Raw genomic sequence first — 16,598 nt, forward strand, 5'->3', positions numbered from 1 at the left:
ATAGAAGACCACCTAAACAGGCTTTGTGTGAGCAACAGGGCTGTTTATTCACTTGGGTGCAAGTGGGCTGAGTACGAAAAGAGAGTCAGCGAAGGTAGATAGGAGAGGGGCAGCTTTATAGGACTGAGGTAGGCAGTGGAATGTTACAGTTAGAGGTGGTTATCTATTGTCAGCAGAGGAGGGGGTCACAGGGTCCATGGTGGGGAGATCATAAGATTCATTGTCCAGAAGAAGAATGTCACAAGGTCGATTGATCAGTTGGGGCAGGACAGGAACAATTCATAATGGTGGAACGTCGTAAGGCTGGTCAATCAGTCAAGGCAGGAGCTTCTTTTGTTGCACTTCTTTTGTGTTTTTTTGGCTGCTCCAGACTTCTTGGCTCCTGCAGGCCATCTGGACTTATAGGTGCAGGTCACAAGGGTTACAATGGCTGAGCTTCAGCTCAGAGGCCTGACACTGTCTTCTCCCCACAGGCAGCCACAATTGACATTGAGCTTCAAGCCAAAGCCATAGCTAAACACAGCTGCAGTTTTCAATAATACACGCCATGCCCTTACCCTCTTGACTGAAGAAACATCTCAAATTAGACAGATAGCCTTATGAAACTATGGCTCTGGACATGTTAACAGCAGCTCAAAGGGGGAACTTATGCTATAATCAAAACAGAATGTTATGCATACATTCCAGACTATTCACATAATGTTACTCAGGCCACAAAAGACTTAGACACCCACATCTCTGCCATTGACACGCTGTCAGTTGACCCCATATCAGCTTGGTTCTAACAACTGCCTAGTCCTTGGGAAACTTTTTTTGTTTAGCATGCTTGGGATAATTCTATTCATTCTGTTTTGTGCTGTGGAATATACTGCATTGTACTTTTTATGTAGGAATAAGAGTTAAGCTTATTCAATGCTTCTTTAAATTTAACACGTTAATTTTCTAGATTTCACCTTTTTCTGGGACTTAGAATTATGTATGATTGGTCCTCACTATACAGATGCTTTCTGACTGGCTAGCTCTCTACTTTGGGCAAAGGGATCCTAATGGTTAGGCAGGAATATCATCGCTTCTGTTCAGCTTGAAGTTACTGAAGATGGATCTCTGTCCCCCTGCACCCCTTAGGATTAAAGGTCTCCTTGTAAAAAGGAGGAGGGAATTATGTCAGAAGTGTCCTAACCAGAGTGATTCCATCTTGAATAAAGGTCAGATAAAGCCAAACCTGCTGGGCGACTTTCCCAGGAAGATAGGCACTCTTCACAAGATGTTTATGGTTGAGGAAATGAGATAATGGAAAAAGGCATTCTTAGTTTAAAAATGAGTTTCACTTTAAAGATAACAGTACACCCATAAATTCTCCCTGAAGTCAATAGTTACACAAGAGAATAACAATACTAATAGTCTGTAACAAGCTGATCATAGGCTTTTGTAATGAAGTACGCTAGTTTTAGCCCTATAAAAGCAAGCATTACATTGAAGGCAGAGGTGCTCCTATATAAACAATACTTGCTTAGTACTACTTCAAAGCAAGGATACTACTCAGAAACACAGTAGTACTATTATTAGAAATGGAGTAGTTTCTAATGAACTATTTTAACTACTATGCTCTGCGACTTGCCCTGATTCTTTGCCGTGGACGTCTAAGAACCTGCTCTTGGGTCTGGAATGAGACCCTTTTTCTGTTAATTCCTCTATTCCAGTCTTGAAAGTAAAAGCCAGTCTTGAAAATAACCTGTGAAGCCCCCAAGATCCACCCCCACTCCCTTACCCGCTTCCTTCCTGACTTCACCTACCCCTCTTACCTTCCCTTGATCCTCCAGCAAGCCGGGCATCCTCATTCCTCCGCATTTATGCACCTGATCCTTTGACCAAAGTGCTCTTCCCTCTAGACCGCCTCCTTCGCCTCCTGTAGATTTTTATGCAAATACCCTGTTCTCAGTGAGGCCTTCCCTAACCTGCCTATTTAAAATGACCATCCCCATAACCGGGCACCGTTCCTCACACCTGTAATCCCAGCACTTTGGGTGGATGAGGTGGATGGTTCACTTGAGGCCAGGAGTTCGAGACCAGCCTGGCCAGCATATAGTGAAACCTCATCTCGACTAAAAATTAAAAAAAAAAAAAATTAGCCAGGCGTGGTGGTGGGTGCCTGTAATCCCAACTACTCTGGTGGCTGAGGCAGGAGAATCACTTGAACCCGGAAGGTGGAGGTTGCAGTGGGCCGAGATGGCGCCACTGCACTCCAGCGTAGGCGACAGACTCCGTCTCAAAAATAAATAAATACATAACAATAAAATAAAATAAAATGTCCATCCCAGTGCTCCCTATCTCTTTGCCCTACTTTTTCTCCCTAGTATTTACCACCATCTAACATACTACTTAGCATCTTATTGTCTATCTGCCCACACAATGTAAGCTTCACGTGGGCGTGGATCTGTCTTGTTCAGTGGTGAGTCCCCAGTGACCTGGTACATGGAGGTACTCAAAAATATTTGTTGCATAAAGTAATGAGCAAAGTTTGGCACAAATGTTAGCTATTATTATTTCAGGGCGTATCGGTAACAGCACCCTACCCTTTGCAAAAATCTCCTTGGGAACCAGAAACTTAAACACAACCAGGAAGAAAAAAAATCAGCCAAAAATAAAAGCGAATTAAGACAGTTGGGGTCTTATTTTAGAAATATACCTTTCTAGGTTCTGGTATGTTGGGCTCTGTCATCTTTCTACCTGATCAAGGAACCACTGTGACATTTTTTGGTAACTTCCAGTCTGTAGTTTGGATTTAGGAGTTCAGGATTCCAATCCTAATTTCCAGGTTCCAGCTGCGTGGCCCGAGTAGCCCGGCCAGCCCCACCCCGGGGCGCAGGAGGCGCGCGAAGGGCGGGAGTTCTCGGGTCCCCGCCCTCGGGGAGGCTCTGGGCGCGGGGCGGGACTCCGGGACGCTGGGCGGGCGTGCTAGGGCCCCGCCGCCCTGGCCCGGCCTTGCCTTGCGCTGCGCGCTCACCATGGTGGGCCCCGCGCCGCGGCGGCGGCTGCGGCCGCTGGCAGCGCTGGCCCTGGTCCTGGCGCTGGCCCCGGGGCTGCCCACAGCCCGGGCCGGGCAGACACCGCGCCCTGCCGAGCGGGGGCCCCCAGTGCGGCTTTTCACCGAGGAGGAGCTGGCCCGCTATGGCGGGGAGGAGGTAGGCGGGGGTGTCGCGGGCCGAGGGACCCGGGGTGGCGTCCGATCTGCGGCGAGCCGAGCGGGGACCCAGGAGGCGCCGGCGGCCCAGGAAGCTCTGGGGGACGCGCGGCCCGCGGCGGGCGCCCTGGGCCGGCGGGGGGCCTCCTCTCTCTAGGCCCCGAAGGATGGCCGAGGGGTGAGGACGAGTCCTCAACAGTCGGAGCGCTCCGCTTTGCCCGCACACCCCACCCTGAACTTCTCCCTCGGTCCCCGGGAGATTTCCCCTCTAGCCGCCTTTTCGTTGATGATCTGCGTACAGACCTCAGAACTTTTTGGTTTTCATGTTAGCATCAGCCGAGGCGTTTACTGTGCCCACGCATAGTGGGGAGTGGCGGGGGACGGAGGGAGGGAAGCAGAGCCTGCTCCCTGGGTTAGGTGGGAATTGAGACAGGTCCTGGGATAAGCCAGTCTTTGCCTGCACTTCCTTTTCCTGCCCCTGTATCCCAGGCCTCTGCATCGGACTCCTCAAACCCACTTTTAGGTCATGTACCCCTGGGGCTCAGCCAAAGCTGGAAGTGAGCGCAGAGGGTGGACTGGAGGTTAGAGACCCCCACAACCCCCCCGCCACACGTCAATAGAGACCCCCCCGCCCACACACACCCACACACGTCAATAGTCTAGAGGCGTCCAGAAAACTCACAACCACCTGCCCACCTGGGTTGGTTGGGACTGGAGCCGCACGACAAGGACCAACAGGGGGCTGATATTAGATGTGGAGCGGGGGAACGGCATTGGGGGGAGGTCATAGTACCATAGTATTTCAGAGCTGGCAGGAACCCATCTCCTGCTTTTACACATAAGGAAACTGAGGCCTGCCACCTGTTAGTGGTAGAGCAGGAAGAGGCCTGATGTTTTTCAAAACCCTCTGGCCTGGTCTCGCTAATTCCTGAGTTAATTGGCCTTATATGGACTAGGATTGCATGGGGGTATCAGAAACCTGGCCCTTAGTCAGTGATGCCAGTTTGGGCATCATTTGTGAAGGGGCCATTTAGAACCATGAGTCAGTGAGGACACCGAGGGAGGGAGACATGGCTGGGATGTGAGGATGTTAAGGGATGCCTTTTTGCCGGTAGCAGAGGGAACCAGATGGTTCAGAGTCCAGGCATCCGTGCAGAAAAGAATTAACATGGCAGGCCTGCTCTCCTTAGAAAAGCCTACTTGCAAGGGTGGGACTTGTCTAGTGTCTGGATTTCTCACCCTTCCCTACCCAATAACGGTGGACTCACTTGCCTAGGCCGTATATACAGATGGTGTGGTTAGTATTGAACACTGTATATGCTAGGCAGAGGGTGCCCCATGTGACCAGCCCCCAGTGAAAACCTTGGGTGCTGAGTCTAATGGGCATCTCTAGCAGAGGAATGTTCTGCCAGAAGAATGGCACATACTGTCAAGTTTTGTTGCTGGGGGAAGAGTGTGCTCTTCCTCATGGGAGGGAGAGAGCATAGGAAACCTGCACATAGATTCCCCTAGATTCTCCCTCTGTGTTTTTCCTTCCCAGCTGTGAGTAGAACTATATGCTGGGTTCTTGGAATCTTCCTTCTAGGGACTCTCCAACTGACCCGATGATCTTTGGGACCACTGGCACAAGAATCTAAGGAAAGAGAGAGTTCACCACTGAGGTTACAGCAAGAGTGCCAGAACTGCAAGATGAGGACTGAGAAAAGACCCTTGGTTTTTTGATGTTGATGTTATAGATTGAAATTTAACTGAGAGAGAGAGGACCTTGAGATGGAAACAGGGGTAGGAAACAATTGTTTTGGGAGTGGAGCCTGAGGATCTCTGTAGGTGGAAGGAAGGAGCCAGAGAGAGGAGGGGAGCGAGGGACGAGAGAGGCAGTTGAGTGCAGTGGGTTCAAGCTGTGCTGCGCTGTTGTTTGACCTAGATTGTTCTGGTCTATGCCTGTTATCCAGGGATAATTATTAATAACACCCTTTCACTCAGAAGTGTGACAATTTGTATAATACATTGGATCATACCTGGTTTTGAGTCCCTGTTCTGCTGTGTGATTTGGGGCAAATTACTAAACCTCTCTGAGTCTCCACTTTGTTCGTAAGATACTTGGATTAGTCCAGGTTTCACCAGGGAACAGAACCATTTGGATATCTATATCTATACAGTTGATCCTTGAGCAACACAGGAGTTCGGGGTACTGACCCCCATGCAGTCAAAAGTCTGCATATAACTTTTTTTTCTTTTAGAGGCAGGGTCTTGCTGTGTCGCCCAGAATGGAGTGAGTGGCTTTTCACAGGCAGTCATGGTGCACTAGAGCCTGGCAATCCTGGGCCCAAGCGATCCTCCTGCCGCAGCCTCCCAAGCCGCTAGTATTACAGGTGTGCACCCAGCCATGTATAACTTTTGACTACCCCCAAAACTACAGTTTTTTTCCTTTTTTTTTTTTTTTTTTGAGACAGGGTCTCACTCTATTGCTAAGCCTGGAGTGCAGTGGCAGGAACACAGCTCACTACAGCCTCCTCCTGGGCTCAAGCAGTCCTCCTACCTCAGCCTTCCCAGTTACTGGCATTACAGGTGTGCACCACCACACCTGGCTATTTTTTAAATTTTCTGTAGAGATGGGGTCTTCCTGTGTTGCCCAGGCTGGTGTCAAACTCCTGGGCTCAAGCAACTCTTCCACCTCAGTTTCCCAAAGTGCTGGGAATACACGTGTGAGCCTCCATGCCTGGCTCAAAACTTAATTACTAATAGCCTACTGTTGACCACAAGACCCAAGAACATAGTCGATTACCACGTATTTTGTAAATGTATTATATACTGAATTCTTACAGTAATGTAAGCTAGACAAAAGAAAGTGTTACTAAGAAAATCATAAAGAAGAGAAAATATATTTACTATTAAGTGAAAGTGGATCATTATAAAGGTCTGCATCCTGAGAAGGAAGAGGAGTGGTTGGTGTTGCTATCTCAGGGGTGGCAGAGGTGGAAGAAAACCCACATATAAGTGGACCCATGCAGTTCAAACCTGTGTTGTTCAAGGGTCAACTATATATAGATAGATAAATGGTTTATCATAAGGATTGGTTTACACGATAGCGGGGGCTGGCTGGGCAAATTGGAAATACATAGAGCAGGCTATCAGAAGGGGCAGGCTGGAAGCCCTCAGGCAGGAGCAGATGCTGTAGCCCATGGGTCTTTTTTTTTTTTTTTTTTTTTGAGACGGAGTCTTGCTCTGTTTCCCAGGCTGGAGTGCAGTGGTGTGATCTCAGCTCACTGCAACCTCCGCCTCCCATGTTCAAGCAGTTCTCTACCTCAGCCTCCCGAGTAGCTGGGATTACAGGCGCCCACCACCATGCCCAGCTACTTTTGGTATTTTTAGTAGAGACAGGGTTTCACCATCTTGGCCAGGCTAGTCTTGGACTCCTGACCTCGTGATCCACCCGTCTCAGCCTTCCAAAGTACTGGGATTACAGGCGTAAGCCACTGTACCCAGCCTTGTTAAGGTCTTTCGATTATGAGATTAGGCCCACCCAGATTATCTGGGATTATTTCCTTATATAAAGCCAATTGATTGTAGATGCACAGCAATATCTAGGTGAGTATTTGATTGAATAACTGGGTACAGTAACCTGTGCAAATTGACACATAAAATAAATCATCACAATGGTTATAATAAGAGTTCCTACTTGGCTGAGTGTGGTGGCTCACACCTGTAATCCCAGCACTCACTTTGGGAGGTCGAGGCAGGAGGATTGCTTGAAGCCAGGAGTTTGAGACCAGCCTAGGCAACATAACAAGACCTCACCTCTACCAAAAAAAAAAAAAAAAAAAGAGTTCCTACTCTAAGCAGGTGTTTTGTGAATGCCTGCATTAAATGAGATGGTGGTGTGCACAGGCTTAGCGTAGGCCTGGAATAGGGCTTAGCACCGTAAGTCTTAATAAATGTTAGCTACTATTATTTTTTATTACCTTATTAAAGATACAAGCAAGAGGCATTATAACAGGTCCACGGTCCTTTCATGCACTACAGAAATCTAATAAACTCTGAAACCTAGACATTTTTGTTTTTCACAAGTCATTTGACAGAAAAACCCAGCTTGATCTGAAATCACTTGATGACAGAACCTTGTTGGAGCTGCTATGAGTCTACGTTAGTCTTTATCCCATTTACTGTGAATGTTCATGTTTCACTGGAGAAATACTAACATACTTGATTATGGGTGTTGCCTTGGACCTCCCTAGAGGTATTGCATAATATATGGTATGTTCCCCATAACACCTTTCTAAAATCTGACATATTTTCATATTGAAAACATGTCTGACCCCCAAGAGTTTCTGCTGTGGGATTGTGGACCTGTGTAACAAGGCTTTCTGAAACATCTAGCAATGAGTGACTTGCTTCTACTAGATATAAAAAAACCTTCTTTCTTGGATGAGAGCCAAGGCAGACCCGCCTCTATCAGTCACACATCCCACTGTGTGGTTCAAGGTGAGAGAGCTCAGACACCCACACAGGGATTTGCGTAGTTTCTCCAGTGGCAGCTTCAGATGGGAAATCCGTGAAGCATGGGTGTCCTGGCTGTCAGTGTCTTTCACAGAGCCACACTGTGTTCTGGATCTACTGCACCAAGAGCCAGTTCTTTCCTTTTAGGCATTGTAGGGCCTCAGAGTGATCCAAGGCTCCCTAAATCATTCACATATGGGAATAGAAAAATCTTTGGTATACATTAGTCCTCTTCGAATGCTTGCTGAAAATCTGGGCGGGGTGTGGTGGCTCACACCTGTAGTCCCAGCAGTTTGGGAGGCCGAGCTGGAAAGATCGCTTAAGCCCAGGAGTTTGAGACCAGCCTGGGCAACGTAGTGAGACCTTGTCTCTATTTTAAAAAAGAAAAAAAATCTGGACAGCATCTCCTTGGTGCTTCTTTAGAACTCCATTCTCCCAGTAATTCTAGTAAGGGTTGTACAGAAGAGGTGATTTTGAGGACCTCTTATGTAGATAACAGGTTATAAAGTGAGTGTGTTGAACAAAATTGAAAATAGAGGAAAAAAAGGTAGTGTGTTCCAGAGTGCCTTTCTTTGGCGCTTGTTTTCTTCAACTCCTGTCAAAATTGCCCTGATAGGTAGAGATATTGCTTGCACATGTTCACCGGTAGCTTTTGCCTTGTCACACACCTGTTATGATAGCAGGGTTTCACTGTCTACAGATTGCAGGCCAGAGATTGGTATTCAAGTTTTCAATAAGGAAGAATTGCCCTAGGAAGGGCAAAGGCTTAGAATCAGACAGGTATGAGTCTGAATCCTGACTTTTTATTTACCAGCAGAGAAACCATTGACAGGTTATGTAAACTCTAAGCCTCAGTTTCTTCACCTACAAAATGGGTATAGTAATAACTGCCTTACAAGATTATTTTATTTTAGTTTAGTTTTTGAGACAAAGTCTCACTCTGTCACCCAGGCTGGAGTGCAGTGGCTGATTTTGTTTTGTTTTGCGTGTGTGTGTCTGTATTTTTTTTTTTTTTTTTTTGGAGACAGAGTCTTGCTCTGTCATCAAAGCTGGAGTGCAGTAGTGTGATCTTGGCTCACTGCAACCTCCGCCTCCCGGGTTCAAGCAATTCTGCCTCAGCCTCCCCAGTAGCTGGGATTACAGGCACCTGCCACCACACCCGGCTAATTTTTGTATTTTTAGTAGAGACAGGTTTTCACCATGTTGGCCAGGCTGGTCTCAAACTCCTGACCTCAAGTCATCTGCCCACCTCAGCCTCCCAAAGTGCTGGGAGCCACCATGCCTGGCTGTTTCTGTGTCACTTCTATTCCTGTGTCTGCATTTATACTCCCAAGCCTTCCACCCACCCTCCACCTTCTCAGTTGTCATTTCCCAGGCCTGAGAGTCTGTGCCTGGGGGTTGTGCTATCCATGGATGTTCATCTACACTGGGTCAGAACTCACCACCACAGCACGCTCTGTTTACTGATAAGACCATTCCTCTGCATGGCATATGAGGTATCTATGTCACTCTGAGGCCTCAAAAATGCTAAACATTCTTTTCTTCCCCTATAATATGACTTCCTCTTCGCACTTACACCTTCAAGTAAGTAGTTTAAGGAGGAGATAAAAATTTTACTGTTAAAAAAAGGAGATTGCTGGGTGCAGTGGCTCACGCCTGTAATCCCAGCACTTTGGGAGGCCGAGGCGGGTAGATCACCTCACGTTGGGAGTTCAAGACCAGCCTGACCAACATGGAGAAACCCCATCTCTACTAAAAATACAAAAAAAAAAAAAATTAGCCAAGCATGGTGGCACACGTCTGTAATCCCAGCTACTCGGGACACTGAGGCAGGAGAAATGCTTGAACCCGGGAGGCGGAGGTTGCGATGAGCCAAGATCATGACATTGCACTCCAGCCTGGGCAACAAGAGTGAAACTCCTTCTCATAAAAAAAAAAGATTGTTTGCCGGGCGTGTTGCCTCATGCCTATAATCCCAACACATTGAGAGGTCAAGGCAGGCAGATTACCTGAGGTCAGGAGTTCTAGACCAGCCTGGCCAACATGGTGAAACCTGTCTCTACTAAATATACAAAAAAAAAAAAAAAAAAAAAATTGGCCAGGCGTGGTGACACACGTCTGTAATCCCAGCTACCCTGGAGGCTGAGGCAGGAGAATAGCTTGAACCTGGGAGGCAGAGGTTGCAGTGAGCCGAGATTGTGCCACTGCACTCCAGCCTGGGCAACCGAGCTAGACTCCGTCCCCCCCCCACAAAAAAAGAAAAGAGTGTTAGTGATAAGATGCATGTTTTTGTTTATCTTATGTATGTGAATGTTATATTTATATGGCTGTTTGCCCATAGAAAATAAGTGTCGGCTGGGCATGGTGGCTTATGCCTGTAATCCCAGCCCTTTGGGAGGCCGAGGCGGGCAGATCACTTGAGGTTAGGAGTTTGAGACCAGCCTGGCCAACATGGTGAAACCCTGTCTCTGCTAAAAATACAAAAATTATCTGGGTATGGTGGCGTGTGCCTGTAATCCCAGCTACTCAGGAGACTGAGGCAGGAGAATCGCTTGAACTGGGGAGGTGGAGGTTGCAGTGAGCCGATATTGTACCACTGCACTCCAGTCTGGGTGACAGAGTAAGACTCTGTCTCAAAAAAAAAAAAAAAGGAAAAAGAAAAGAAGTATCAAGGAGAAAGCCACAGAATGGAAGATATGACAAAATACTGGGGTTAAATGATAGCTGTAATATATTTTTAAAATTGATATAAATACATAATCCCACTTGATAAATAATCAAAGCTGAGGAATAAGGAAACCTGGTAAAGGAAAGGCGGTAAATCATCACAAAGAAAAATGCCGTCTGCTGGCTTGGAAATCCAGGCCGTTTCAAATGACCCGTGTTAGATGAGGTGGAGCAAGTGTCCACAGAGTCAATGGCAGTCCTCTAGGGCCTGTCTTTAGGAGCCGGTTTGGAGTAATAAAAGGCAGCCCTCTGCTGAGCTCCTGTGTCGTGCCTGCTAGGTATTACGTACACTCTTTTCCTCAGCATTCCCGAGGCAAGTGGGCGTTACCCTCATATGACAGGCAGAGAAGCAGGCCTGAGTGGTTATGAGGCAGTGAGGTGTGTTTCCTTGGGCAAGTTGCTTAGCTTCTCTGAGCCTCAGTAGCTCCTCTGTCTGTTAAATGGGATCATGAAAACCCTTCACCATAAGCTGCACAAGCGCAAGAACACTAAGGCCCACCCCAAAGAGAAGGCCAAGCAGCAGGTGCTTGCAGAGCCTGAGATTCCTATGGACCCAGCAGCGACTCCCACCCTCGCCTGGGCTGTGAGCCACCTGGCTGATGCCCCTGCACCTCTGATGGCACTGAGACAAAGGAGAGATCTTGTCTTGGGTGTCTTGGGACTGTACCCATCGTCCCAGCCTGAGCCCAACTTGATGGAAGCTAGAAAAGTCATGCCATCCTTTTTTGTGTAATTCTTTCTTGGTGGGGAAATTCTGAGGTAACATTTTATGCCTGCTAATAGAGCCAAAAAAAAGTGTAAAGCCCATTGTTAGTAGAACGGTGGGGAAACAGCATTGCTTACATATCTCTAGCACTATAAATGTTGTTACAGGACAAACTAATAAAATATAAACAGTGATTAAGTTTTCATATACTTAGGCCCAGGAATTCCATATATTGAAATAGGGCACTTTCCTATGCATTCACTGGGTGGAGAGAAATTTTTAAATAAAGGCCTCAATGAAATAAGTCACCAAATTAGAAAGTAATTGATAGAAACATGTATTCATAATGCTGCCATTTATAGTTCTAAGGATTGGAAACCACCCAAATACCCAAAATAGAAAGCTAGCTAAACAAATAGGTAGACAATATCACTAATATAAGATGGGGCCCTACGCCGGGCATGGTGGCTCACGTCGGTAATCCCAGCACTTTGGGAGGCCTAGGTGGGTGGATCACCTGAGGTCAGGAGTTCGAGACCAGCCTGGCCAACATGATGAAACCCCATCTCTACTAAAAAGACAAAAAATTAGCGGGGCGTGGTGGCGGGTGCCTGTAATCCCAGCTACTCAGGAGGCTGAGTCAGGAGAATCACATGAACCCGGAAGGTGGAGGTTGCAGTGAGCTGACATTGCGCCATTGCACTCCAGCCTGGGCAGCATGAGTGAAACTCTGTCTCAAAAAAAAAGATGGGGCCCCATGGAGCTGTTTAAATGACAGTCATTTTGGTGGAAATGTTTATATGAGGGAATGTTACCTGTAAGAAGCAAAATATAAAATAGATTGCTCATATCAGTCACATCCGTGTATGTCTATTGATGAAGAGGAAAGGAAATTTGGACTGATAAGTAATTCATCATTTACTATTCTTTTGAATTTTCATCTCCATGAAGTTGCTTCTGTTCCTGATTTTCTTTTTTTTGAGACGGAGTCTCACTGTGTCACCCAGGCTGGGGTGCAGTGGCATGATCTTGGTTCACTACGACCTCTGCCTCCAGGGTTCAAGCAATTCTCCAGCCTCAGACTCGCGAGCAGCTGGGATTACAGGCATGTGCCACCATGCCCGGCTAATTTTTGTATTTTTAGTAGAGATAGGGTTTCACCATATTGGCCAGGCTGGTCTTGAACCCCTGACCTCAGGTGATCCGCCCGCCTTGGCCTCCCACAGTGCTGGGATTACAGGCGTGAGTCACTGTGCCTGGCCCCTGATTTTCTCTATAAAGGAGAGAATTGCCACATTCTTGTCATGAGACTTTATGACTTTTCCAAATTTCTGTGTGCGGGCATGACGCTGCCCAGGCAGGTGGCAAGCTCGCCAAGGACCAGGCTTAACAGAAAGCCTTTGGGACTTGACCCACTGCTCTTTGCTCAGCTTGTGATGGGAGAAGATTTTACTAAGTTGCACTGGAAGAGCTGGCTCTTCCCTTCCTCTTCACAGCTTCTCCCCTGCTTTCTAGGAAGATCAGCCCATCTACTTGGCAGTGAAGGGAGTGGTGTTTGATGTCACCTCCGGAAAGGGTAAGTGGTGTGGCATTTTGAATCTTCATTTCCAGGGAGCACAGAAGCCAGAGTGAGCAGCACTTGGAGGTGTGAGGAAAGGGAGGGAACATTAGGCAAGTCCTTTTCATTCCATTTTATTTTATTTTATTTTTTGAGACGGAGTTTCACTCTGTCACCCAGGCTGGAGTGCGGTGGCACGATCTTGGCTCACTGCAACCTCTGCCTTCTGGGTTCAAGCAATTCTCTGCCTCAGCCTCCCGAGTAGCTGGGATTACAGGCACCACCACCACCGCTGGCTAATTTTTTTGTATTTTTAGTAGAGACGGGGTTTCACCATCTTGGCAAGGCTGGTCTTGAACTTCTGACCTTGTGATCCACCCGCTTCGGCCTCCCAAAGTGCTAGTATTACAGGTGTGAGCCACCACACCTGGCCTTCCTTCCATTTTAAATGAGCAGATTGAGTTAATCTTTGTCAGTGTTTTACTTCAGCAGGGGCTTTTTTCCCCTGATAATGACATGCTTCTACTCAAAAGCCTTTCATGACTTTCCATTGCCTGTAGAATTAAATTCAAACTTAATGATTTACCCTAGTTGAAGCAATGAGAGAAGTGTTCTTTAGTAAAGAGTTGGCATTATAGAACATTACAGAACATTTTAGTGCCATTTAATGTAACTACTAATGATATCTTGGAGATAGTTTTGTATTGGTTTATCTATTATTTGATAACAAACACTGCTGAATGGGAATAGATTTGGCTTCCACCAACATTTAAGAAGAGGGAACATTTTTCTTGTTTGCATCTTTAATTTTTTTTTTGGAGACAGTCTCGCTCTGTCGCCCAGGTTAGAGTGCAGTGATGCGACCTTCTCCAGCTGCCAGGTTCAAACGATTCTCCTGCCTCAGCCTCCTGAGTAACTGGAATTACAGGTGCACGCCACCATGCCCAGATTTTTGTATTTTTAGTAGAGATGGGGTTTCACCATGTTAACCAGGCTGATCTTGAACTCCTGACCTCAAATGATCTGCCCATCTTGGCTTCTCAGAGTGCTGGGATTACAGGCGTGAGTCACCGCACCCAGCCTGCATCTCTAATATTTTTAAGAGACTATTTTCTCAGTATTAACACTTAGGTGAAAAAACAGAACGAGAAGGGGGCTAGGCACAGTGGCTTATGCTTGTAATCCCAGCGCTTTAGGAGGCCAAGGTGGGCAGATCATGTGAGCTCAGGAGTTCAAGACTAGCCTGGGCAACATGGTGAAACCCCATCTCTTCAAAAAAAAAAATACAAAAATTAGCTGGGCATGGTGGTGGCACATGCCTGTAGTCCCAGCTACTCTGGAGGCTGAGGTGGGAGAATTGCTTGAACCCGGGAGGTGGAGATTGCAGTGAGCCAAGATTGTGCCACTGCACTCCAGCCTGGGCAAGAGTGAGACCCTGTCAAAAAAAAACAACAACAAAAGAGGTTGTAGGGGTACTATTCTCATTTTATATTTTCTGAAAATCCCTGCTCAGCCTGCATGTGTGACTTACTTCACATTTAGAGTAAGTGGAATCCAACCTGATGGCTGGGGTGGCTTACTGGACTTTGTATCGCCATTGTTTGGCCTCTCCGTGAGCGTGGAGTCTTTTTTAGGATTGGGTGCGGGCCTTGGGAGCGCCCCCACGTGCAAGCTCCTGGTTACTCTGCATGTAAACCCACGCTTACGTCTCTTCCTTCCTTCCCACTACAGAGTTTTATGGACGAGGAGCCCCCTACAATGCCTTGACGGGGAAGGACTCCACTAGAGGGGTAGCCAAGATGTCCTTGGATCCTGCAGACCTCACCCATGACACTGTGAGCCAGATTATAAGCCTTTGTAAAATCCTCTACCTCCTTGTCCATGCCTTTTTCTCTTTTTCTTTTTCTTTTCGTGTGTGTGTGTGTGTGTGTGTGTGTGTGTGTGTGTGTGTGTGTGTGTGTATCTGGGCAAGAGCAAGCCTTCCTAATTAGCTTATTTACCCTTCGGTCCACTTGGTATGGTGGCCAGGCATTTTCTTGAAATAGATTATCCTACCATGTCATCTCGACTCAGAAACCTTCCATGGCTGTCTGTTGCCTAGAGTCAAGTCCAAACTCTTATGAACTTGTGATCCAACTCAGTGATCATCACAATTTGGCCCCAACCTGCTTTGGCAACCTAATGCTCCTTATGGTCTGTACCTGCCACCCCATCCCCTCAGCCCCTTACAGCCTTGCTATTAGTCTCTGAGACCCATTCCCCAGGCCATGCTTGGTAGCTTTGTGGATGAACTGGGTTGGGAAGAAAGGTCTCCCTCTATGCTTATATTTCTGTGAAGGAGAAGATAGCATTAAAACATTTTTTAGGCCAGGAGTGGTGGATCATGCCTGTAATCCCAGCACTTTGGAAGGCAAAGGCAGGTGGATCACCTGAGGTCAGGAGTTTGAGACTAGCCAGGCCAGCATGGAGAAACCCCGTCTCTACTAAAAATACAAAAATTAGCTGAGTGTGGTGGTGCACACCTGTAATCCCAGCTACTTGGGAGGTTGAGGCAGGAGAATCGCTCGAATCCAGGGGGCGGAGGTTACAGTGAGTTGAGATCATGCCACTGTGCTCCAGCCTGGGCAACAGAGTGAGACTCCATCTCAAAAAAAAAAAAATTTGTTTTTTAAACCTATTCAAGGTCTAAATAATTCCAACAGTAAGGCTGGAATTTCCTCTAACTGTGCTCAACATCAAACTGACATTGAGATAAATTGAGATGAGCCAAACTCATAACAAAATGAATGTAACAATATTACAAAAATGAATGAAGAACTTAAGAAAGGGGAAGGTGCCAAATGTATAATGGGAGGAGTGTAGAGAGAGGGATAATGGGAGCAGTGTAGAGAGAGGGAGGATTAATCGGGGGGAGGAAGGGGATGCAGATGCAATAGGGCATGCCCTGCCCCACCCCAGCATGCTCTCTGGAGTCTTTCATCCCTTCCATCAGTCAAACCACAAAGTGTGATGAAGCATTGCTCCCCGTATGTTATACCCTCCCACCCCCACGCCCCCCCCACAGCAGTGTCTCTTAAGCCATTTGTCCATTATTTGGTTTGTTGAGATATCTTTTCTCTTGCATTAGGGATGTGGGAGGCAAGGCAGGGATGGAGAAAGGCCAGTGCCAAACACTATCCACTTAACCCCATCTCCTGTCTTTCTTGGGCTTTTCTCCCCAAGACGGGTCTCACGGCCAAGGAACTGGAGGCCCTGGATGAGGTCTTCACCAAAGTGTACAAAGCCAAATACCCCATCGTCGGCTACACTGCCCGGAGAATTCTCAATGAGGATGGCAGCCCTAACCTGGACTTCAAGCCTGAAGACCAGCCCCATTTTGACATCAAGGATGAGTTCTGATGTTCCCCCTGCAGGAGCAGGTTCTTGGGAGCGTGAGGCAGGAAGACACTAGGTGCTGAATCTCCTGCAAAACTGGCTGCCTGGAGGCCCTGAGCCACCCAGATCTGAATAAAACAGATGCTTACCCTGGAAGAGCAAATGCCTCCTGTTGTCCTTGGTCAGGGGTTCTGTCTACCTGGGGACCCCTGTCTGCACACCAGGGATCAATAAGAGCCAAAGTGGGACACCTCCTAGATGTCAGTATCAGCTGGCTGGGCAGTGGAATTTTGAGCGACCTTTACTTTATACTTTTCTGTGCTTGACAGATTTTCAGCCATGACCATGTTCACTTTATAATCAAAACAAAAATAAAGGTCCCATTTTTACAAAAGGAGAATTCTTCCCCAGAGGCCATTTCCTTGGAGCCCACATAAGCGGGTGGGCTGTGTTGTTCTTCCATAGTCCTGCGGGGCCGGATGGTGGGGCATTTAGGCAATGGGCAGGAAAAGAGAGTGGTGAGGTGGGAGGGTGGGCGATGGGAAGGGAGCCAG

The 16,598-nt window shown here is 47.3% G+C and overlaps 1 protein-coding gene and 1 long non-coding RNA gene across 4 annotated transcripts, besides 3 other annotated features; one reads left to right on the plus strand and one right to left on the minus strand.

Annotated features, from left to right (window-relative positions):
• Positions 1-22: 22 nt before the first annotated feature.
• Positions 23-2,879, minus strand: LOC105372906 (uncharacterized). 2 transcript variants are annotated; one of them, XR_922577.4, is made up of 3 exons: positions 2,687-2,879; positions 1,803-1,906; positions 23-393 (listed from the first exon to the last, which is right to left on the minus strand). It is a non-coding gene; the product is annotated as an uncharacterized LOC105372906 (long non-coding RNA). The 2 variants fall into 2 exon arrangements; XR_922576.4 differs by having other exon boundaries at positions 23-398; positions 2,687-2,867.
• Positions 1,057-1,344: a transcriptional cis regulatory region, noted in NCBI's record as "candidate enhancer chr1.11595 targeted for multiplex CRISPR interference". NCBI's record gives its function as "positively regulates NENF gene expression in K562 cells {active_cell/tissue: K562}" and the evidence as "EXISTENCE:mutant phenotype evidence [ECO:0000015][PMID:30612741]".
• Positions 2,768-3,327: a silencer, noted in NCBI's record as "silent region_1795". NCBI's record gives its function as "represses an Ori minimal core promoter by ATAC-STARR-seq in GM12878 lymphoblastoid cells {active_cell/tissue: GM12878}" and the evidence as "EXISTENCE:reporter gene assay evidence [ECO:0000049][PMID:35858748]".
• NENF (neudesin neurotrophic factor) lies at positions 2,982-16,441 on the plus strand. 2 transcript variants are annotated; one of them, NM_013349.5, is made up of 4 exons: positions 2,982-3,182; positions 12,627-12,687; positions 14,401-14,504; positions 15,892-16,441. In NM_013349.5, the coding sequence occupies exons 1-4, from the start codon at positions 3,006-3,008 to the stop codon at positions 16,066-16,068; spliced, it is 519 nt and encodes a 172-aa protein (NP_037481.1). In that variant the 5' UTR covers positions 2,982-3,005; the 3' UTR covers positions 16,069-16,441. The 2 variants fall into 2 exon arrangements, 1 of the variants encoding a protein (NP_037481.1); NR_026598.2 differs by lacking the exon at positions 12,627-12,687.
• Positions 3,488-3,577: an enhancer, noted in NCBI's record as "active region_2504". NCBI's record gives its function as "activates an Ori minimal core promoter by ATAC-STARR-seq in GM12878 lymphoblastoid cells {active_cell/tissue: GM12878}" and the evidence as "EXISTENCE:reporter gene assay evidence [ECO:0000049][PMID:35858748]".
• Positions 16,442-16,598: the final 157 nt, after the last annotated feature.

The sequence above is a fragment of the Homo sapiens genome, chromosome 1 (genome assembly GCF_000001405.40).
Source record: "Homo sapiens chromosome 1, GRCh38.p14 Primary Assembly".
Lineage (NCBI taxonomy): Eukaryota > Metazoa > Chordata > Mammalia > Primates > Hominidae > Homo > Homo sapiens.

Excerpts from the sequence above, each read along its gene's own strand:
- NENF (NM_013349.5), top strand. The coding sequence starts at position 3,006 with ATGGTGGGCCCCGCGCCGCGGCGGCGGCTGCGGCCGCTGGCAGCGCTG. Across the intron at positions 12,688-14,400 it reads TGATGTCACCTCCGGAAAGG|AGTTTTATGGACGAGGAGCC; the intron begins GTAAGTGGTGTG and ends TTCCCACTACAG. Across the intron at positions 14,505-15,891 it reads CAGACCTCACCCATGACACT|ACGGGTCTCACGGCCAAGGA; the intron begins GTGAGCCAGATT and ends TTTCTCCCCAAG.